Source organism: Homo sapiens, chromosome 12 (genome assembly GCF_000001405.40).
Source record: "Homo sapiens chromosome 12, GRCh38.p14 Primary Assembly".
In the NCBI taxonomy this organism is placed as follows: Eukaryota; Metazoa; Chordata; class Mammalia; order Primates; family Hominidae; genus Homo; species Homo sapiens.
This window is the reverse complement of record NC_000012.12, coordinates 105697306-105721745: the sequence shown is the minus strand read 5'-3', so window position 1 is coordinate 105721745 and position 24440 is coordinate 105697306. Positions and strand designations below refer to the sequence as shown.

Below are 24440 nucleotides of genomic sequence, written 5' to 3'. Positions count from 1 at the left end.
TGGCTAGACAGATGTTATACAAATAGTCACAAACATGAAAGTGTAATTCAAAACTTGGTCAATTATAAAAACTGGGGTTTGCCTCTTTTAAGAGCATTAATGCTTTTTAAAAGTCCAGAAGTTGAGTGATTTTCAGACATCTGTAAAAGTCATTCTGAAACTCTGAAACAACTTGAAACTCTTTGCCTGCTTTTGCATTAAGGCCATTTTGAAAATTAATTCCTGTACCTTGTTAGGAATGTATTTCTTTGTATGAGAACTATAGTTCCTGCAACTGAAAATTAATGTAAGATGTTGGCTGCCCTGGAATGGAACAATCGACCGTATGAAATCATTTTGTGGTTTGATACTTCATTACTAGCCAGTGAAGTCTCCACTCCCTCCCCATCCCCCAACCTCATGCCACTGGAAATCGCAATTAGTTGAAGTAGAAAAGATTATAGCCAGGTGCACTGTTTGAAGTGGGATTTTTTTTCTCTTTCACTTGTGGTGGGAGTGAGAGTGTTGAGGGCGAGGGTGAGGGGGGTGTCAAGGGGGAGAAACTCCTTTTGTTAAGTATTTGCAGTCTATGAGCATCCTGGTAATTCAACAGGCGTCTGTGGAATCTTAGGGCATTGGGACTCTTTGTGTTTAACCATCAAGCTCTAACCTCAAGGGTGTTTGCTGTGAGTAGAAACAGGAGATGTGAGGCTATTCACTGATGTGCAAAATGACATGATCCTCTTAAGAGCTAGAGTGAGTTTCACTAGATGAAAGGGAACGACATGGCTAAGCTAAATATCTTATAAAGGAATCCAGGAGATATTTATTAGAAATTGAATTATCTCTTCACAAATGCATAAGATGTGGCAGTTGAAGTCCAGATAAAGTAAGTTTGCATCATGGCCCTTTCACAACCCCAACAAACAGGTAAAAAATTACCTGTAATCTTATCCTTTTTGATTATTTTAGAGCTCTTTAAAATTCTTGGTATAAATATTTTATATAAGTTTTGATAATTAGAATTGAATTAAAAGAAATATATTGAGAGAGTGAAATTAGAGAGGTTCTCCTGAGTTCTAAAATTCTTCCAGTGTATTACTGACTACAGTGGTCTCCAAAAGTCCCCAGACAGGACAGAGTGACTTCAGGTATTGGACCCTGCGTACACAATGAAAAGTGGTCAACATCCTTAGACTGGCCCAGTCTTCTCACTCATTAAATAACAGAAACATCAGTCGTTCTGTCTTGCTCTCAGAGCATCATGAAGATGAAGCAGGACAAAGGAAGTGTCAGTGTCTCTCTAAAACAAACCCCAACTATACAGATGCTCGGAGAGTAATAGAACATGCCCTTTGGTTGAGCCACATGTTATTGGCCTCATTCTTTGGGCCAAAAACTTTAAAAACAAAGTCCTTCTGGTTTCCTGTCCAACCATAAATTCTGATGACATGAAAACACGTGAAAGAAGATAAAAAGAAGAGTGATCTAAAGAAATGTATAGGAAAGTATAAAGTCAACAATTCCATATAGGTGGAGATGCTTAAATCACTCAAAACGGAGGCCCATTCTCATATAATAACAGGATCTAGAGTCAAGCAGTCATGGTTCAAACTCAACTCTGCTATCTCAATTTCCTCAACTGAAAAGTGGGGACAATAACCCCTAACTCACAGGGGTACGGTAAAGGTTAACTGAAATATTCTCTGTAAAACACCTAAGCTCATTAGGAATAAGTGTAGCTGCCTGGTATAGAAAATCCAAAATAACAACAGCTTAACTGCACAAGGCTTCATTTCCACATGCAAAGACACCTGCAGGCTGGGAGTAGTGACTCATGCCTGTAATCCTTGTGCTTTGGGAGGCCAAGGCAGGAGGATTGCTTGAGGCCAGGAGTTCAAGACCAGCCTGGGCAACATGGTGAGATCCCATCTCTAAAAAAAAATTTTTTTTAATTAGCCCAGTGTGGTGGCATGCACCTGTAGTCCCAGCTACTTGGGAGGTTGAAGTGGGAGGATCTCTTGAGCCCAGGAGTTTGAGGTTACAGTGAGCTATGATTGCACCACTGTACTCCAGCCTGAGTGAAAAAGCAACATACTGTCTCAAAAAAAAATTTTTTTTTAATGTTTGGAGATAGCAGATTGCTGCTAAGATGTTGGTTCCATGACTTCACAGGGATTCAGAATTTGTTCTTTTGGCTCTGGCATCTTAGAGACAGACTGCTCCTTCTAGGTAATCTTATGATCCAAAATGGCTCAGTGTAAGTACCAGTGTGACTGACCAAATGCTTATGTCCCCCCACAAATTCATATGTTACAACATATGAATGTTGAACCATTAACCCCAAGGTGATGGTATTAGGAAGGGGTGCCTTTGAGAGGTGATTAGGTCATGAGGATGGTGGCCTCATGAATAGGATTAGTGCCCTTATAAGAGTTCCCAAGAGCTCCCTTGCCCCTTCCATGTGAGGACACATGGAGAAGTCACTGTCTATGAACCAGGAAATAGGACCCCACCAGACACCAAATCTGCCAGCATCTTGATCTTGGGCTTCCCAGCCTCCAGACTGTGAGAAACAAATTTATTATTTATAAACCACTGAGTTTATAGCATCTTGTTATAGCAGCCCAAATGGACTAAGACAATTGAGAATGGGGAAAAGAGCTTTCCTAGAATGTCTGTCTGCCTTTTAGGAAGCCCTCTGGAAGTCCTTCTCAACATCTTTGTTCCAGCTCCCTGGCTGGAACTTGGTCACAAGGCCATAGCCAATTCAAAAAAGCATGTAGACATGTGCATCATTACTGTCAACGAAATGGGGGTTCTGTTAGTAAGGAATAACTGGTGGTTTCTGCCATAGGAGCTGGTGCAAAGCCAGTTGCCTAAGATTAGTCGCTGCTGCTATTGTGGTTAGAGATATGCCAATTAAAAATGTATCTTTAAAATGGACTCCTATTATTCTATATGACCAATAAAATAATTCAGACACCCAGATGTCAGAGTATGTATGTACCTCCAAACGAGTACTCCCTGGCTAAAGTTGTTACCAAGAGAGTTTAGATTAACTGTTTTGAGGTTGCTTTTTTTTAAAAAAAAGGAAAAACATTGTTTTAATCCTTAGAGCTAGCCATTATTCAGTTATTAAGCATATATATTGATTTAGCACTTAGGCCCTATGCTAAGTGCTAAAGGCTATGAAGAGATCAATTCCAATTCTCTAAGAGATCACAGATAAGTAGTGAGAGCAGCCAATAGAATATTGCAATATGGTGGGGACAGAGGTAAACATTGGAGGCCCAGGAGTGCACAGGACAAACAATACGGCCTTGGAGGTCTGAGGATGAATTCTAGGGACACAGAGCTCAACTGATTCTGAAAGACAAGTTGTGAAAATAAAGGTGGGAGGGAGGAAGAGCCCTGAAGTCAGAAGAAGCCCAAAGGCCCAGATACCAGAAAGAACCCCCATGACTTAGAGGAAACTTTGATACCGTGGTTCCATACAGCTTTAAGAACCTGCAGCACAGCGTCCTACATAACCTCAGTAAAGAAAATTTTCATCCTTTGTACACTGACATGACTTTTTGAAACAGTCAAGTTGTGTGAACAAAGTGGACAATGGAGATGAGTGTTTCTATTTTTTTTTTTTTTTTTTGAGCCCTCACTCTGTTGCCCAGGCTGGAGTACAGTGGCGTGATCTCGGCTCACTGCAACCTCTGCCTCCTGGGTTCAAAAGATTCTCCTGCCTCAGCCTCCCAAGTAGCTGGAATTATAGGCGCATGCCACCATACCTGGCTATATTTTGTATTTTTGTAATTTTTAGTAGTAATTTTGTATTTTTGTAATTTTAGGGTTTTGTCATGTTGGCCAGGCTAGTCTCAAACTCCTGGCCTCAAGTGACTCACCTGCCTCAGCCTTCCAAAGTGTTGGGATTACAGGCATGAGCCACAGCACCTGGCCAGGGTGTTTCTATTTTAAAGTAAAAATTAGGTTGGTGGCCAAAGTAGTGGGAATTCTTTCTAATGCAATGCCCAGCTGACTTTAAAAATAACCTCCTTCAAAAAGGGTAGAAAATTTGCAGAAATGATGGGCAGCATCATTACATTCAGACTATAAACTTCCAAGGCAACCTCTTGAGACAGACAACACGTTAGAGTGTTAAAGTGCCACCCTATATAATGGCTACACTTATTTATGGTATACAGAGTCAACAGAATGATCACTACAATTCAAACTCTTGGTATACATTTAAATTCTGGACCCGATATAAAAAAATGTCCAATACAAAAAGGAATACCTTGCCTCTGCTCTCTCTTTTAAAAACTCTTTATATTTCTTTGAAGATTTTTTAAAAACTATTCATTAATTTACATTGACTGGCCCTTTAAGAAAATCTGGGATTTGCTGAGATTCTTGAACCTCCCAGACTTCAGAACGTTCAGGAAAGGGAGACTATTTTAATCTTCTCCTTCTCTTCTCACATCTAATAAGCCACTGTTTTTTAATTAACTCCCTTGCCCCATAAATATTTCAAATGTAGCCTCTCTTCTTTATCCCCACGGCCATTGTCTCAGTCCAAGCCTTCATAATCCCCTACCTAACTCAGCATTTAATTTCCCAGCTGCTTTCACTGCTTCTCCTCTCCTCCTTTCTCTAATCCATTCCAAACACTGCCACCAGAGTGATCTCTCCAAAAGGAAAATGGAATGATTCTCCTCCCTTACTTAAAACTCCCCAAAGGTTCCCTGAACATCTGAAACCCTTCCATTTGAAGAGAACTTCAAAATGACGTCCCGCCTGCCTGCTCAGCCTCCTGCTCCTGTTCCCAATCTGCATTCATGGTTCCACTAACAGGAGTTCCTTGGTGCCTCTCTGGCGCCCAAGGCCAGCATCTAACCTATTAGCAAATCCTTTCCCATGGCCTTGGGAGTACACCCTCTCTGTATCCACTTCTCACCACCTCCACTGCTAATTCTCTCACCTAACACCATTATCTCTAGCATTTGTGAAGACCGTGGGAGCCTCTTCACAGGTCTTTCTGCTGCTTCTTTTGGCCCCTGCAGTCCAGGCTTCCCACTGCTATAAATAACATCGTGACATTTTCCTGATTTCTTTTTCTACTTGGAATGTGAAGTCTTTACCTGGGCTTACAGGGCCCCACAAACTCTCTTCTGTGGTTCTCTCTCCAGCCTTCTCTGTCTCACTTCTCTACAGCTGGATTAGTATCTGGATCATCTTTTCACAACCTTTGCATGTGCTGTTCCTTCTGCCAGTAATGATCTTCCCACCTCGCACACTAGAATATAAGTGTCAGGGCACTGTTTTAGGCTCATCTCTGTATCCCTAGTACGTAGGACAATGTCTGATAAAAGGTAGGCACTCAATAAACATTGAGGTGCTAATGAATGAGTCTATGTTTTGCCGTTTTTTGTTTGATACCTTTGTCCTAGGCAATACAGGAAGAGTAAAACATGGTGAGTTTGAATCCACGTCTGTGTTTAATGGGGTTATCTTGGGCAGGTAATCTCTGATCCTCTGTTTCGATATTTGTAAAAATGAAGCAGCCAATTTATGAAACACTCAGAATTTTTATGAGATTAAATAAAATGTTAGTTTTTTCCTCTAGGAAACCTGAGATGATGCAAAGACAGTCAAGAGATCCTTGTGGCAACATCCTGAAGTGTCCTGAACACAGAAATGTGACTTCTTCTTTGGGGCCAGATGGAAACTTCTGACTGTTAGAGCTACCTAGCTGGTTTCAAAACTATGATTGGGATTTCTTACTCTTTAAGAATTGCATTCTTGTCTAGTAATGTAAAAATTCATTTTAAGTGAATTTTTTCTTCAGTTCACCCTACCTTGAAACAAAAATAGATTATAAACAACAGATTGGTTTTTAAACACTACCTATTGTTAACATTCTTCCTCATGTCTTTATCTTACCTTTGCCTCATGCCTATTGCCCTGAAGAAGAAGGAAGGCAGTGTTCATAGACTTCGTGCCCCTGTCAAATATATTTTCTTTATTTACTGCCTTCTGATTCACAAACACTCAGAAGTTTCTGCAAGGGGTAGGACCATGGCTAGGGTGTCATCTGTCCTGGCTTACACCTGTTGTCCCAGTGCAATTATTAATAATGCCCCTTTCACTCTCAAACATGTCCTGGTTTGGGCAATAACTTTTGTTGTCACCCTAATTATAGTTCATGTATAAAAACACATTTTGACTAGAATAAACTTCTGGGGTCTGTTGCATTCCTTTTCTTTTCTTTTCTTTCTTTATTTTTTCTATTGCTGTCTTACTTAGATCTAGCCATAGTCTTGACATACCTTAAAAAACTGCTACTCTCCAGTTATAAGCATATTGCAAACTGAACTTGAGGGTCATTTTATTCCTACAATATGTGATGTGTCCATCCTGCTTTCCTCCAAATACTTTCCTCAATTTAGAGGACTTTTCTGATTACCTTTTCATGTACCTCTAGTAGCATCAGATAGAAATAAGCCTTATTCAGACAAATGGATGTGTTTGCAGAGGGAAGGGGTTTACTTACCCGATTTTTCCCACTCTGGGTTACAGAGGCTTGACTCTACTTGTCCAGTATGGTTCACCTGGCTCATGACATGACAATTCACAGAGAGATTCTTTAATTCTGGACTTTGAAGAACTGATAAAACAAGGTAGCATATCTGGAGGCATAACATTGTGTCTCAATTTTTAGTTTTGGTATCTTTATCACAATAAAAATACATAAGGTCAGCTTGAGAATGATAGATACCCAGAATGTCCAAGCTCAAAGAAGCATTGGATTCAGTGAGTCCCACCTCACCAGCTTTAAGATGGAGGGAAAAAATGGCTAATTCAACATAAACAAGTATGATTTAATGACAGGGAGGGGGTCAGAATAGTCACAGAGTTGGGAGGGCAAAGGGTGTTCTACTTGAGTACAACGCTATTCCATTGGTGTTGGCTTCTTAGAGTGGTGTGTTAAAAGGGGCATGAGGCTGAGTCTACTCTCAGAAAGAGGGATATGATTGATTAGTGATGTCAGCCCTGGGCACAGGGATGGAAAGTAGCTGCAACAAGGTCCATGCATGAGTGAACTCTTTTCTAGCGTAAGAGGTTCAGCAGAGAAACTAACAGCACATTAATTGGTGTTAGATCAACAGGTCCAACTCTTCGTTTTATTGATGGCATAGCAGTGGCCTCCAAAGGGAAAGTAGCTTTCCTTAAGTTCTCCAGCTCAATCGGTTAGTAGCCTAGCCATTATCGGCCAAGGATCTGGCTCATTGAATATTGTTACCTCAAAAGGCTAAAGAAAGGTACAGAGAGAAAGAGTGGTGAAGACATACTTCCAATATTTTCCAATGTTGCTTCAAGTTATCCCTACATATAAGAAAGCAAAGCAAAATGAAGCAACGCAACAAACAAACAAATGAATGAGGCTGATTTTTAATGGGCCATATAGATATTTCTAAGTTCAAAAGTCATGGGCCACAGATAGTTCCCTTTTCCTTAACAAGGAAAGTTTAATTTAAAAACAGCTTGATGCTAGCTTTGTCATTGAATCCAATCAAGTTTTCCCCTGGGGATTAACATCAGGACATACAGGGCAGGCAGTGTCTAGGGCATATGTCCTCTGTTTGGAATTTTCCGGGAGGGGCTGGAATGAACTGTAGCAGCTGTGAGTAGCTTTCAGAGAACTCTCTGCACTTTTGCTGAGGGTTTCAATTGTGTGGTCTGAGTGACTGAATTTATGTTTAAAAACAGCTTGGTGCTAGCCTTGTCATTGAACATAATTAGCCTTATTCATGAATTTATTTTTGCTATGTCCCCTGCTTCCTGAAAATGAACCAGCTTGGGTCATGTGCAAATGATGGGGGAAGGGTACAGGAATGAACACCTTCATTGTCACTCCTGCCTATCTGCAAGTCTGATGTTTTCCAAAACCAACTCTGAAAAACATGAGCTAGCTTGAGAAGAAAAGAACTGCTGTGACAAAGCACCATGGACATCGCCTGATTCACAGTAAAGAGGCCCAGCCCACTGATAAAAGAAAAACTTCAGCTGAACTAAATTTAAAGGAGTTTAATTGAGCAATGAACGATTCGCAAATTGGGCAGAATCACAGCAGATTCACAGAGTCTCTAAGGGTGCCCTATGGTCAGAATAAATCTATAGACAAAAAGGGTAAAGTGACGTACAGGAATAGGAAGTGAGGTACAGAAACAGTGAGCTTGGTTATAGGTTGGCGTTTGCCTTATTTAAACACAGTTTGAAAACTCAGCAGTCTATGAGTGGTTGAAGTATGGCCTCTGGGATTGGCCAACACTCAGCTATTGTTAAAGGTGCATACTACTAAGTTAGCTTTTCAGTTTTGTCTGACTATTAAGCTAGGTTATATTTCATCACAAGGATTCAAATATAGAACTATGGAGTCCTTCTCAGGCCATATTTAGTTTGCTTTAACACCACTGAGGGTTCATTTGAGGGCCACACTTAGTTGGAATAAAGACTCATCTTCCACCTGGTTCAGACAACACTGCAATATTTTGCCTGGGTCAGAAATTCACAGGGGCTTTATCTCTGGACCTCAAGGTGCTACTTATATCTGAAACTGACCTTACTAGTCCCTGCTTCCCCGAATATCCCCAACCCCATGGCACTTCCTCCAAAGGAATTATTCTTTTTTTTTTTTTGAGGTGAGGTCTCATTCTGTCATCCAGGTTGGAGTGCAGTGGCACAATCACAGCTCACTACAGCCTCAACCTCCCAGGCTCAAGCAATCCTCCTGCCTCAGCCTCCTGAGCAGCTGGGACTATGGGTTCTCATGCCACCATGCCTAGCTAATTTTTTAAAATTGTTTTTTGTAGAGACAGGGTCTCACTATGTTGCCCAAGCTGGTCTCAAACTCCTGGGCTCAAGTGATCCTTTAGCCTTGGATTACAGGTGTGAGCCACTGTGCCCAGCCAAGAATTATTCTTAAATTGTGGAGTTTCAAAATCACTGAGATTTGATTAGCCTCTTCCAACCACACAAATGTTTATCCTGCTGCCATATAGGCAGATTGTTCTTAGTTTTAAAGACTAGAAGAAACTGTCCTCCCTCCCATCATTAGGCCACAATATGAAGTGCTTTCTAAAATTGGGCTGCATTGGGGTCTGTAGACTCAAAAATATATATGGGCCAGTAGATTAAGAAAAATGTGCAAATGGGAAGAGTATCAAAGCCATGGAGATTAGCGGGGCCTGAAGAACTGGATGATAACTGCTCCTCTAAAGGTGTTTAAATTTGTTTTTTAAGACACTGATTATCAAGAAAAATACTCCAGTTTGCAATTCCTGAACTTCAAGATCCAGTAATGAAGCACTTCCTAAGAGGCAGGCTTTCCCCTAAAGGGATCACAAATCATCACAAAAAACAGACAAACAAAACACCTGAAATAGCTATCATTACTAGTCTGACTTACAGAAAATGAAACTGAGGCACAAAAATAAAGTTAATCACGTAGTCAATAAGTACCCGAGCCAAGATTTGCACTCAAAGCTCTCTGGCTCTAGAGACCATGCATTTAATCAAGAGCGAAGACAAAAGCTGGTGTCCTCACATCCTCCCAAGAGATTTAGAACCTAGATGCTGCAGCTATTACATGGATGAAGAAATCAGTGAGTGGTTTAAAATAAGAGGGAACCCAGGGGAGATAGCTACCCACCCCCCAACCCCAGCCATGCCAAACCCCAGAACACTGAGTGGCCTCTGTAGATGAAGATGGTAAAATTGAATGTAACGATCGTTTGTAGGTGTTTTCTGTGCCCTATTACAGTAATATTAAATCTTAATAGAGTTCTACTCACTTGGCTAGCCAGCATCCACCTGTTGTTAGTTAATGCCAAGTTAAAGCTCCACTTGAATGCTGGAGGTGCCTTTTCAATTATTCAGACAGCATGTGACTCTCCTTCAATGAAACTATTGTCTGAATGGTCCATTGCTATGGTGATGATGTACCTGGCTCCAGGCAGGTGACAGATACTGCTTATTGTCTTTTTAAAGACACACAAGTGTGATGTATTCTTATAAGTTGCCACCAATGTCAGAGAACAAAAGTCACAGGTAGTCATAGGAAGCCCCTTGCCTTTAGCCTTGTGATTGTCCAACCTCCTCCTGAAAATTTCTAACTAGATGTTTCCTAGGCACCTAAAACTCAGCAAGCTCAAAACTGAGCTGTTCATCTCTTCCTTCATTCCCAAATCTGTTCTCCTGGAGAATTTTTTTATGATGGTTAGCAATTCCACCATCTTACTAGTCTACTTAACTTGAATGACCTTATACTTCTTCCTCTCTCTCAAGGCTCACATCAAGCTGGTCACCCAGTCTTGCTGATTCTTCCTCTGAAACATCTCTCAAAGTTACCTTTCCTCCTACTTTGCTATGACTGCCTTTGCACAAGCCCCCATTTTTTCTCATCTGAAATAGTGAAGTTGCTTTATTTTTCTCTCTAGCTCCCCATCATTCCTCACTCCAGTCTGAGTGACCTAACACATAAGCATCCTTGAATTTATTTTATTTGTACTTCTATTGGCTCTGTTTCTTTTAGTCCAATACTCTTAGCAAGTTCTTTTACCTCAATCTGCCACCCATTCCTTATCCATGCCCCATCACCCCAACCCAACACCTTCCAGAACTTTATCCTATGGCCCACCTTCAGCCATTTGCATATGCTTTCCATCCGTTTGGGTGTTTCTCCATTTTGAATGCTCATATTTATCTTTCAAGACACATCTCAAATATTACATTCTCCACGACATCTCCACAGATTCCTTTGGGTATATTTCATTGCTCTCTTCTTTGTATTCCAAGATATATGGTCATCCTTATATTACTACATTCCTGAAATTAACAGCTTTAAAGTCTGTTTTCTGCACTAGATGATGAGATTCTAAATATAAAGGGCAATATCTAATAATATATTCACATCCCCAGAGAATGTCACATTTAGTGTTGTTGAATAAATCTATCCAACTTTCATCATTAACAACTATTTATCAAGTGCCTGTCATTTCACAAGGATTGAACTAAATACTTGAGACAGATCATATCTGGTGAGCAAAACCAGATACGATCCCTGTCCTCAGGAAGCTCCTAGTCAATTGCAGAAACAGATATCAATCAAGCAAAAACAAAGATACCTGTAAACTCAAAACTGTGCTAAACTGCTTTAAATGTTCTGAAGGAAGATCCATGGTATTATGGGACGAGGTTATGACCTAGCCAGGGAAATCAGAGAAGGATTTGAGCTGATTTATGCCCTATGAATAGCAGCTACTTCAATGAAGAGATGAGGGAAGACCAAACACAAGCATCAGTGTGTGCAAAGTCTCTGTGGTAGAAGGGAGTCGAGAAAGTATGAGAAACTGAAAGAAGGCCATGGTGGCTGGAGCAGAGAAAACAAAATGAGCTTGTTGGAAGATGAAGTTGGAGAAGTAGGCAGGGTTCACACCAGGCAGGGCCTTGTAGTTCATGTTGAGAAGTGTCATCTATCTTAAAAGAGGAATGGGAAACCATGCAGCATTTAAGCCAGGAAGAGATAAGATCATTTTGCATTTTGAGATCACTCTGGCTACTAGGTGGAGAAAAACTGGAATGTGTAAATAACAAGCGAAAAATTAGGACGAAAGCCTGAGTAAGACAGGCAGGTAACTTGGACTAGCAAGAGAAGTGGTGGTGGAGATGAAGAAAGGTGGATGGATTTGTGAGGTTTTCAAGAAAGTAATAGGATTTGGGGTGGGTTCAATATATATGAAAAGATAAATAAGATTCTAAGGTAGGAGATGTTTGAGCTGCTTATTGAGCAGTACATACTACAGATTTTCAACAACATACTTGACTTAGAAACCATTTACATCTTCTACTGCAGATCTCAGGAATGTGGGAAGAAGAGGGGATTAGGACTCTAGCTTTAACCGGTATCTCTAAGGTGGGTGATAGGGAGAGCAAAGGCAATAAAGATTTGGTGGGTCAGAGTGAGGACTGGTTCAGATGAGCTGCTAGATGTACAAGTGCCATGGAAGATCAGAAGGGGAGGTGAGAATGGTCAGGGCAGGCTTCCCAGTGAGACCTCAGCTGTGCCTCAGATGATGGGTAGGTTTCAGACAGTTACAGAGACGGGGAAAGTGTCTCCGGCAGGAGACCATGGGGCCTGCGTGATGACAGGGGAAGGATGAGCTATTGGGTACCTCTTCTAATTCTCCTTCATTTCCTTTAAACTGGGAAACAAAATAAGCAAGCTTGTTACAGATTCTGCTCAAACGAGAAGTGTCTATGTCTGAGAGCATGAATTAGTGCAAAGATGCACCATTGGCCTTTTTAGAGGTCAGAGAGTGTTTGTGTTTTGTCCTTCAGAGTTTAAGGCTGAGTGATCAAGATCTGAGATTGCAGCTACTTTAAATCACAGCTGCACCCTTGGCTCAGTGAGATTCATGAACAGATTTTGAGAGTCTACTGTGTCACAGGCAGTGCACTAAGTTCTGAGACTAGAAGGATGAATAAGATGTGGCCTCCAACCAGCATGTATTGCAATCTATACAATGCCATTGAATAAAGTTAAACTATAATAGTAATAGTACATGTAAGCCTTTGAGTATATAAAATAGTTAAAACAAAAATAGAAAAATTCTATCTGGACAAAATTGAGTATGTATTAGACAAATGTTTCTTAAATTACAATCTCCCCGGACTAGAGGCACATCATTCATCATGAAATGCCTGTTAAAATACAGATTTTTGCACCCAATATAGCTTACAGAATCAACACTCTGAGAGATGAGGCCTGACAATCAACATTTTAAACAAGTTCCCCCAGAGATTCTAATGCCCACTAAAAGTGCCACCCTATTAAACCAGAAGTGAATCTAGATATTACAAAATTAAAACCCCATTTTCTATTCTGCTGCCCTTTTTTAAAAAATTAATAAATATTAAATGTGACGAGGACAAAATTCCTTGTATATCCAGCTTCAAGATTAGGATCCAGGCTGAATGTGGTGGCTGGCACCTGTAATCCCAGCATTTTGGGAGGCCGAGGCGGGCAGATCACCTGAGGTCAGGAGTTTGAGACCAGCCGGGCCAATACGGTGAAACCCCCTCTCTGCTAAAAATACAAAAATTAGCCAGCATGGTGGTGCATGCCTGTAGTCCCAGCGAATTGGGAGGCTGAGGTAGGAGAATCACTCGAACCTAGGTGGTGGAGGTTGCAGTGAGCCAAGATCACGTCACTGCACTCCTACCTGGGCAACAGAGTGAGATTCCATCTCCAAAAAAAAAAAAAAAAAAGACTAGGATCCTAAATAGTCAATAGACAAGGAGTTTCAAGGTTAAAATTCTTTCCACTCTCTTTCACCCATACATAAATAGTCTGTGTTCTTATTTGCCAATGCTAAACAGAGGCCTTCCTATGTGATTATTTATGTTGTCAAGTATATCACATAAAATATAAGACATAAATTACTCTATGTGTGGCTTCTTATCAGCTTTGAGTATACACATTTTCAGCCTCAATGTGAAATCAGAGTTTGCTTCTAAATGGTATCTGGACATACAGAATTTGTAAAGAAATCTATCCTCTTTGTTTAAGAGAAGATATCAATGTAATTTTGCCTCGTGCAGATTCCGTCCTTATTTTTTTTTTTTACTTTAACTACTTTAAAAACCTTTTTTTTTTCCCAGTACAAAAGGTGAATCCATTTCACGAGGAGGAGCTCAGTCAAATTTTATATGAGGGGAGACCAAGTTTGATCTTGCCGAGAGATCCTCGTTCTGTAAACCCCGTAAGTAGGAGTGTGAAGGGAGAAAGCCAGAAACGGGTTTTAATATGGATGTGCAAAAAAGTTCAAGGAAAGACGAAGAGGAAAAGAAAGCAAGCCTTCCATGTTTATCTGCTCCATCTATTTCCTGCCTGTAATTTATGCCATAGGTTAATTCCCGGGAAGTAGGAAAAAGACTCACCTTGTACTACAGTTAAATCTTGTGGAGAATAAGTAAAATTCCAAACATATCCCAAAGTAATGTAAGAGCAGAGGCCTCTTATTTTGCAGAGGAAAGAGGCCTCCTAAAAATGCTGCACACAGATGTTTAAGCATCAGAGAGACATGGACTAGTAGATCCTTGGAGCGAAAAGGTGCAGAGAGAGAAATCGCCCAGTCCAGAGGAAGAACATGAACCCCGGAGTGGAGAGGAGTCCCTCCCAAATTTACAGGGCAAGTCAGCGGCAGAGCTGGTCTAGAAACTGCACCCCTGACTTCTAGCCCCTGCCTGATTCTGTGCGCCCATGTAAGCTCTAAAGGACGCCATTCACTATGTGGTCCCAGTCAAATCTTCTATGTGCTATGTACGATGGTTGACCCAAAAAGAATTGTCTCATCATTGCCCTTCCCCTCCCCTCTGCAAAACAAAACAAAACAAAAAAAAACCTTGTGGCTTTGTCCTTACTAGGCAACAATTTCATCACACTTTGTCATTTAGTAAGTATAAAACAGCCAGCCAACTTCTAAGGACAGAAATACACATCCCCGGTCTAATTCTTGCCTCTAGCCTTTCAAAGCTCAAGGCCTGGCTTTGGGGCAAGAGGGTCCACGTGTATATGTGTGTGTGCACGTGTGTGCATGTGTGTGGGTGTGTGTGGCAGGGGATAGAAAGCCCATCACATGTACCTGGAACACAGCTTTGATCCACATCTTTCTCAGCCCAGTAAAAAACTTGTAGCCACTAAAGCATCTGAGCACTGAAGCATCTTAACCACTAAAGCATGTGGGGCATTGTCATCTGACCCCACTGCCATAGGCCCCTTTTTACAGATGGCTGAATACTTTCTCAATGAGGCCATTGCACTTGCCCTGAGGGGGAGGACCTCTCATCACTCACCTGCTGCCATTCTTTTCCAGGGCCCAGAACAATCCCAGGGGCCTTAACTACAGACTCTAATTGGGCGCATCAGCATCACGAGTAGGACTCAAGTAAGAAAGGGGCATATTTATGTTTCTTATCGTGCGTCTACAGGGAGGGGCTGAAAAGGACTCAAAAGCCTATGAAAACTTGTATTGCAGATGGGGAGGAGGGATGAGGGTAGAAACAAAAAATAATATACAGCACTTTATCCAACCATTTTATAACAAGTTGAAATCAGGCTCCTTCCAGATTGAAATGGATCCTCCAGTCCCATAATTAAATTGGGAAAATGAAGCCATTTCATGCCTTTGGCTCCCTTTGATCATTGTTATTTCTGTGACTAATGTGTAACTGGAGCTGCTTTTTCTGGGGCATGAGCCTCGCCTGGGCAGCTGCTAGGAGAGTGTGGCCTGGTCTCCTGTTGTCAGCGCAAGCTGACGGCAAGGCCAGGGCTCAGCAAGGTCAGGTTAGTCTCAGCCAAAGTGGACTGGAAGAGATGCACCTGCGCTGACAAGCAGCTATCTGTTCCCATTTGCCTCTGACTGCATTTCTCCAGGGCCTCCCTTGTCCTGGAGAACTCTTGGGTGGGAACTGGTGTTTTTTCCCTTGAAAGGAAGAGATAGAGGACATTTCAAGAGATAGGAGCAGAACATTGCCTCTCAAATTGTAAAGAAGGTGACTTCTGAAGCTCATCATTTTAATTTTCCCTCCCCTTTGTCCCTCATCAACTTCTATTCCTGCATCCTCCCTAACCCCTCCATGCGTGCATCACACACACACATACACACACACATACACTCACACTCACACGCTGGGCACAGCAGGCATGCAAGCACAGTTGGGAATTCTGTGAGTCCTTCTAGACTAAGGAAACTCAAACTAAAAAGTAAAATCTATTAATAACAACTCCCTCCTCCCCATTTACTACGGAATTTGCTCTTGCGGATTCTCTAGAGCGCCCTCATGTGACGCCCTGTTGTAATAGCATTCAAGACTTTGGAAGGATATAAGGATCTGTTGAAACACTGTATCACCACAATTCAAAGTATCACTTTTCCGGATGAATAACGCCTAGTATTTGATAGCACAAAACGAGGACTGTAGTCAATAATAATTTAATTGTACATTTTTTTAAATGCCCAAATTATTTAAATTTCAGAAAGAGATGGGCCCTTCAGGGAGAGGAAGGCTCGGCTGTCTTAATCTCTGGGAGCCCTGTAGAAGAATGAGAAGACAAACAGCTGACTTTTTTCTAATTTTTAACAGCTACTTGTGGACCAAGGTGACACTTAGGAATCCCAAGAAGCTCCAGCCATAAAGGGAGTCGGTATCCTTCCTCCAATTGTAAACCCCAGCACTCCCACTGAACACACTGGCCATGCCAAAAGTTCACACATCGGCCACGCAAAGAGCTCAAAGAGATCCATTCAGTACCTGGGAAGGCACGATCACTACGGGGAGAATCAGAAACCACGCGATCGCCAGGTGGCCTTCAAAGAAGCCTCCTCCCAGAAGGTCCAGAATCCCATCCAGAGACATTTCTGTCACTCTTCTCAAGCCACCTCATCATCTCTCTCTGCAGTTGAACTGCTGATGTTTCTGAGATTGTGGGTTTGTTCAAAATGAAGCTTGGCAGAATCATAATTTATAGGCTAATATTTTGTAAGTAGAGACAATTCATGACTTAGAATCTTATGAATAAATTGCTCCTGTTTTATTGCTCTGTGTGTGTGTGTGTGTGGGTGTGGGTGTGGGTGTGGGTGTGTGTGCATATAACTTTTCTTTTTCCACGTTTACCTCTTGAGTGGGCCCATTAAACTGAGAAGTACTGCGTGAGGTCTTGAGATAGCACAAGCCTTCGCCACCCCTGTAAAGGTGTGACGTGTGTCTAGGCAAAACCCTGGCAGGTCTCCAGGCGGTCCTTCTGAGTTAGGGCTCTGAACACTCTCTCTTAAAGCCCTGAGCTATGAACACAGCTTTGAACGGGACAGAGAAAGACCAAGTCAGAGGGGGAGCAGCTGTGTCTTTCTCCTCTCTGCTTCATTATAGACAAAATTGACCTCTGGGCCAAGTCTCATTAACTAATTGAAGAGTTCATAGTCACACAGTGTTTCTCAAAACGAGATTCAGAGAACACGAGCATCAGAAACACCTGAAGTGTTTGTTGGAATTGCAGCTACCTGGGCCCCATTTGGTGCCTGTTGAATCAGAATCTGTGGTATAAGAACCTAAGATCTGCATTTCCAATACACTTATAAGTTGAGTGTCAAGCACAGTAAAGTTTGGGCAGCCCGTCCCTTAATCTTTTCACATCCCGTCAGATTACAGATTTATATTTTAACAAAAGCCTTTATTTCCATAAGCCAACAGGGGAACTTCAGATACTGCTGTGGGGCAGCAGGGGAGATGTTGTTAAGCAAAGGGAGAAGGGCTTCCAGCGCCTCTTGATTTTTTCTGCAGAGGTAGCTGCACATGCAGCTGGTCAGAGTTTACCTTCTATGTCCTACCCCTGTGAATGCACCCCAGAGCTGGAGCACGCATTGAGGTCAGGGGGGCGCCTACCTGGAAGGACCTACCTGGAAACTGGATATCCAGTGAGGAGAGGAGAAGGGGCTGTCAGAAAATCAGCTCACCTCTAGACGGCGGCAACTCAGATAAGAGGAGCTTGTACTTCCGGTCTCTCCTCCCTCATCCCTTTCTGGTTGGGAAATTTTGTTCAAGCTACCGCTGTATGCTTCTGTTTTCTCTGAAGAAAATGGAGACTAATATTTATGCCTGCCTCAATAAATACATTTTTATTATAATTAATTTTGAAAGGTCCTGAGATTGGTAGGAAGATCACGTCCTCAGAGGCAGGTGTTGTGAACAGTGGATATGAAGTTGCATGGAAAATCTTCCACATGCTCAGTCCATCCCCAAGGGAAAAGGAATGTCTGGTGGGAAGTGAAGAGCTCTGAGCCCCTGCCTTCTCTGCTGCAGCACCCACCATCTTCCTCTTCTATTCCAGCCATGCGAGGCTTTTTTCTATTCCTTGAACCCAACAAACATTGCTCGTCTTCAGCCAGGATTGGGAAGCACTGCTCAATCCACTGCTGTATATAAATCTAGCTCACGGGTTGGGACTTTTCAGGCAGGGAAAGGCTCATTAGGAAACTGAGGCTGATTTTGGATGTTTCCAGGTCAGGAAGGTTGTATGTGTAGGTTTTCTTCTGCATTGGGCACAGAACATTGGATGGTCATTCTCATTCCCATCTTTGGCAAGGGCTGGGATGAAGTATGTGCTGGTGGTTCCTGAGCTGCCTAGCAGAGACGTGGGCTTGGGGAGGAGGACATTTTCTTTCCAGCAGGTGCTCGAGAGGACTCAAAGAGGTGATGAATGGAGCAAACAGAGCCTGGACTCCATCCAGGTAGACAGGGCTTATACCCAAATCTGTCACTTACTAGTTGTATGATCTTGGTTAAGCCTTAGTTTCCTCCTCTATAAAATGACTCTAAATAGTAACACCTACCTCAGAGTTGTTATGAAGATTAACAGACATAAGGTGTGTAAACCAATTACACTGTGTCTAGTACACATGACTGCCCTGTTCATACTAACTATGGTGATTTGATGTTTGGGAGCCACGCTTTTTAGTCTTTAAGGTCTGTGTAATCTCGCTGTCTTGTTTTATTTTATATTTCCCCATTTATTCTCTATTCTCGCTCCTGTTTCCTCCCATTTCCCTCTCCTGTCTTCCTTCCTGGGATTTCTTATATGTCCTTAGATTATCTCCAAAAAACACAGAACTTGGTTTTGTGTGTATATTAAAGTTTAATATCCTTAAGTAGTAACGTGCTATAAATCGTTTACCACCTTTTGCACTCAACACTAAGATTTTTAGAGGTATCCATATTATGGTTTGCCAGTGGTTCTCAACTTCACTATGAAACAGAATCACTTGGGAGCTTTTGAAAAATTTCAATACCTGGACCTCCATTCCAGTTATTCTGATTTAATTTGTCTAGGGTGCGGGCCAAGCCTCAGGTCATTCTAAAGTGCAGCCAGGATTGAGAAGCACTGCTCAATCCACTGCTGTATATAAATCTAGCTCACAGGTTGGGACTTCTCAGGCAGGGAAAAGCCCGGGGTTCACCTTTTTCTGCCTCACCAAGTCTCTGCAGTAAAATCAGGTGATGACGACCCTAAGGACAGCGTTAAAAGGAAAAAGAAGAGAGGAGAAGGCAACTTGCAGCCTAAGGCATATGTAAGAAAGAGCAGAAATCAGAACTCCTACTCTGCCCTATTTGTCAGAGTCATGTTATTGATTCATCTGTTCGTCCATTTAATCACCCAGGATTTACTGAGCTCCTCAGACATTCTGCTAGGTGCAGGGAATACAGCAGTGAACAGGGTAGACAGTCTCAACACTCAGTGGCTTTCATACCTGTTAAAATAAAGCTTCTCAGGCCTCATGTCGAGAGCTTCTGACCCAGTAGGTACAGGGCTTGGCTCAGGAGTCTACATCTTGAAAAAGTGCAGCAGGTGATACCAATGCCTATGATCCTGGGAATCTTTTGTAGAAAATTGGTCTAGCCAATTTATGAGTCAGGTTGTTTTTAAGCATGCTTGATAAATTTAGCCCATTTCTCCCTTTTAGAATTTTTTTTGAAACAGCAGAACCCCTATTTACTATGTGTCTTCAGCAGCAACTACAGCCTTAGAACTCTCTTCCTCTGACTAGACATTCCTATACATGATACCACCAACAATTAATTCATTGTTGCTGGTGCACCCACATTATACAGTTGCTATAGAGTCATGGTCACATTTAAGCCCTACCAAAACTCTGCGAGGTAGGTCTCATCCTTCATATGAGAAAACTGAGGCTCATGTTGGTTAAGTGATTTTCCCAAGATTATACCTCCAGGAATTAACCACATGTCCCTCTGCTTCAAGACCTGGGCTTCTCGCCACCATATTGCATGAGGCTCCCTAGAAGGCCAGGACAGTCTTCACTCATCCTGTTATCTCTTGGAATACCCAACTACACTAACAGATGGCTATTCCAATCACAATCACTGAACCAGTTATTAGCTGGATGCTACATTCTTTCCATACACAAAGTATACAGAGGAATCCCTCTCATCTGGAGTTAACTGGCACTAGTAGCTGGTTGGCTCATTGGAAAAACGTAGCTCAATCTGGGAATCATTAAAAGGTGATGTATGTATACAGTAAGTATTTTATTTTAACCTGAAATATATAAATGTATATTCATGAGCCAGACCTCTAATGTGGAGCCAAAGGGTTTTTTAATTTTTTTCCACTTTAAGTTCTCTGATTGGAGTTTCAGTACTCTTTCTAACATAACCTATACCGATAATATATATTCTAGAACTTCTAATGTTTATTTTCTTAAAGTAGAGTAAAACATATTTGTACCTTCTAAATAAGCTAAGTACAAAATCCTATTAAAATACATAATTCAGGAATATATTAAAATTTTAAATATACAGATAAGTTGATAAAATGGCAAAATAAACACCAAATACCCACTGCCTAAATTAAACAACTGTTAACATTTTGTCGTATTTACCTTATTTCTCATGCTATTTTTAGAGCTGCATCTACATCCATTCATCTATCATCCATCTATACATTGTTTTTTTGCTAAATATTTGAAAATAAGTTGCAGATATCATGACACTTCACCCATAAATATGTCAGCAGGTACCTCCTGAGTATAAGAACACGCCTCTATATCATTTTCACACCCTGAAAAATAATGGTAACTTTAAAATAACATCTGATATTGAGCATTCAAATTTCCCCAACCGTCACAAGACTGTCTTTTAGAGGTGATTTTTTTCTCAATCAAGATTCAGTCTTGGTTCATGCATTGCATTTGATGTTATATTTTTTTGGCCCGCCATTTTTTTTTTTGACAGTGACTTTTGGAAGAGTTCAGACCATTTTGTAATATTCTGGATTGAACTGTTTTCTCATGGTACATGTTTCTCTTTACCCTGTGATATAGTTTGGATATCTGTCCCTTCAAAATCTCATGTCAACATTTGATCCCCAACACTGGAGGTGGAACCTAGTAAGAGGTGTTTGTGTCATGGAGGTGGATCCCTTATGTATAACTTGGTGCTGTCATTGCAGTAATGAGTGAGTTCTCACTATATTAGTTCTCATGAGATCTGATTGTTAAAAAGAGTCTGTCACCTCTTCCCTCTTCTAATCTTGGCAGAAGGTGCAGAGGGAGCTTGTCACATGGCTCCCTCTCTTGTTATGTGACATGCCTGCTCCCTCTGCACCTTCTGCCATGACTAGAAGATTCCTGAAGCCCTCACCAGAATCAGTTGCTGGCACCATGCTTCTTATATAGCCTGCAGAACTGTGAGCCAAATAAACCTCTTTTCTTTATAAACTACCCAGCCTCGGGTATTCCTTTATAGCAACACAATGGTCTAAGACACCCTGAATTCACTGTAAACTGGATTAAGGTTATAAGCTTCAGTAGATTCAGCTTGAATATTTAGGACAGAATTCTTCACTGGGAATGCTGTGTACTTCATATGGCATTACATCTTCTGCAGGTATTTCTGGCAAATAAATATAAGCATTTATCTTAAGTACGTACTTGGAAATGAAATTTCTGAGTCATAGCATATACAAATGTAGTTTTTTCAAGTGGTCATATCAGTTTTCACCCTTCAAATTCATCCTACAAACAGAGTTCCAGTGGCTCCACATCTTCACCAACATTTGAAATTGTCAGTCTAATAAGTTTGTAATGGTATTGGATTATGATTTCAATTTGTCTTTCCCTGATGACCTCGAGCTTATTGTGTGCTTATGGTTTAATTAGATGTAAAGTGCTTAATTATTTTGCTCAGTTTTAAACTGGCATGTCTATCTTTTTAAATAAGTGATTTGTAAGATTAAACATGAGTCTGATTGTTGGTTATATATACTTAAAACATCTCCAACTAGGTGGTTTGCATTTTCACACGCCAAATAGTGCCCTTTAATGAACATAATTCCTAATTTTAATATACCCAAATTTATGAATGAATTCCATTTTGTTTAGTGGTTTCATATCCTGTTTCAGAAATCTTTGCCCACCCCAGTTATCATGAAGATATGTTATCTTATAAAAACTATTTTTTTCTTACACATTGAGATTCAAAATCCATCTAGAATTAGTTTTTTTGAATATGATGTAGACAGGAGTCAATATTATTTTTTCCATGTGACCAAAACATTTTATTAAGGAGAGTACCCACTTTCCAGGGCTTTACTATATTCCCTTTGTCATAAATCATGTGTTCATATATGTGTGAGTCTCTATCTGTATTTTATTTTGCTCCATTGGTTTGTCTATTTTTATGTCAAGAATGTCATGCTGTTTTAATTACTGTAGCTATAAAACTCTTAACATCCAGCAGTATATGAGGTCTAAACTTGTTCTTCCTCCTCAAGATTGCCTTGGTTGTTGGGGGAGGAGTTTGCATTTCCGTATAAATTTTCTAAAGCAACTTGATAATTTCCAATAAAAGCTACTGGATTTTTATTAAGATTGCATTGAAACTAGCTCATTTTGAGGAGAAGCCATAGTTTCTCTCTGTATTTATTTAGGTCTTGTTTAATTTCTCTTTATAATGTTTTGTAGTTTTGCTTAATTCACTATTGATTTTAATATGTCAGATTACTTGAAATTTTCTAGGTACACAATCATTACATATATGAATAACAATAATTGCTTCTTTTTGTATTTTTATGCATTTTATTCCTTTTTCTTGCCTTTATAGCACATGCTGGGCCCTCCAATACAATGCTGAATAGTGAATAGATCAGTAGTATTTCTTCTTCAACCCCAATCTTGGGAAGAAACTGTTCAATATTTTACCATTGAATATAGAGTTTTCAGTAGATTTCTTTTATAGGTATTTATCAAATTAAGGAAGTTCCCTCTATTTTAGTTTGCTATGAATCTTCTTAAGTTCTGAACTGGTATTAAATGTTATCAAATATTTTTCTACATCTGTCAGTACGATTATGTGATTTCCCTTCTCTTTTCTATTAACGTACTGAACTTTATTAGTAATTTTCTAATGCCAAATCAACCGTGTTTTTTGAGAGAGAAAAAGCAACCTGGTCTTGTTGTATACTTTTTTCTATATCATTTATTTATATACTTGGTTTAAAATACTATCATGGAACTTTAGATTAAGATGGCAGATAGGAGGCAGGACTAGCTTGCAGCTCCCGCTTGGAGAGGCAGAGCAGTGTGTGGAGATCACATCACGAACTTTTGCGCCAAGAACTACTGCAGGAACATACCAAGAATGCTGAGAGAATCCACAGACCTTTTGAAGGAACTGGATCACCACAGCAGGCTCCCTGAGACACCAAAAAACTGTGAGTCGGCTTGCTTTCTCAACAGGGAGGCTCATGATCTGGGGCAAGTTCTCAGCCCTGGTCACCAGCTGTCTGGAAGTAAACTTGGTGAATTGGTGGGGTGGGGGTGGCGGGAACACAGGGAGAGTGAGACTGGCTTTTAGGACTCTGGGCTGCATGTCCCTGGGGACCTGTATGACTCAGCAGAGGGAGCCATAATCCCCCTGGGAATACAATACCATTAGACTGGGAACCACACCCCCACCCCCCACAGCAGCACAGCAAGCCCTACCCAAGGAGAGATTGAGCCCAGACATGCCTATCTCCACCCTGACCTCGTGGTCTTTCTCTACCCACCCTGGTAGCCCAAGACAAAGGTCATAATCTCTTGATGACTCTATGGCCCTGCCCACCACCTGAGAAACCTGAATACCTAACTAGGTGTCCCTAGGGCAAGTTTGCATTCTCCCTATAGGATCACAGCTGATGTTCTCTTGAAAGCACCACCTCCTGGGTGGAGGCCAACCAACACAAAACCAGTGCGTTAAACAAAAACACAGCCAATGACCCTCACAGAGTCCACTTTACTCCCCTGCTACCTCCACTGGAGCAGATGCTGGTATCCGTGGCTGAAGACCTGAAGATGGATCACATCACAGGACTCTTTGCCGACACTCCCCAGTACCAGCCCGGAGTCTGGTAGCTCCGCTGGGTGGCTAGACCCACACGTGGAAAGCAATCACTACAGTTTGGATGTCAGGAAGCCCCATTCCTAGGGGAAAGCAGAGAACACCACATCAAGGGATTACCCTGTGGGATAAAAGAATTTGAACAGCAGCCCTTGAATTCCAGATCTTCTCTCTAACATAGTCTACCCAGATGAGAAGGAACCAGAAAAATAATTCTGGCAATATGACAAAATGAAGTTCTTGAACACCCTCAAAAGATTATACCATCTCACCAGCAATGTATCCAAGCCATGCAAATACATGGAAATTAAATAACCTGCTCCTGAATAATTATTGGGTCAAAAATGAAATCAAGATGGAAATTTAAAAATTCTTGGAACTGAATGACAATAGTGACACAACCTATCAAAACCTCTGGAATACAGCAAAAGCGATGTGAAGAGGAAAAGTTC

The 24440-nt window shown here is 41.2% G+C and overlaps 2 long non-coding RNA genes across 5 annotated transcripts in view, besides 1 other annotated feature; one reads left to right on the top strand and one right to left on the bottom strand.

The window, feature by feature from the left end:
- Positions 1-17543, bottom strand: part of CASC18 (cancer susceptibility 18) — a 39861-nt gene extending 22318 nt beyond the window's left edge. For 2 of the 4 annotated variants that reach the window (NR_110110.1, NR_110111.2), the window contains exon 1: positions 14890-14972. This is a non-coding gene — a long non-coding RNA (cancer susceptibility 18). Of the gene's footprint in view, positions 1-6526; positions 6585-14889; positions 14973-17489 lie in introns of those variants that run through there. The other 2 variants (NR_110109.1, NR_110108.1) reach the window with 2 other exon arrangements.
- On the top strand, positions 13719-16630 carry LOC105369959 (uncharacterized). The gene is made up of 3 exons (XR_945309.3): positions 13719-13796; positions 14910-14981; positions 16180-16630. It is a non-coding gene; the product is annotated as an uncharacterized LOC105369959 (long non-coding RNA).
- Positions 22942-24141: an enhancer, noted in NCBI's record as "BRD4-independent group 4 enhancer chr12:106091383-106092582 (GRCh37/hg19 assembly coordinates)". NCBI's record gives its function as "activates an origin of replication core promoter dependent on BRD2, P300/CBP, MED14 and CDK7 cofactors, and independent of BRD4, by STARR-seq in HCT116 cells {active_cell/tissue: HCT116}" and the evidence as "EXISTENCE:reporter gene assay evidence [ECO:0000049][PMID:35650434]".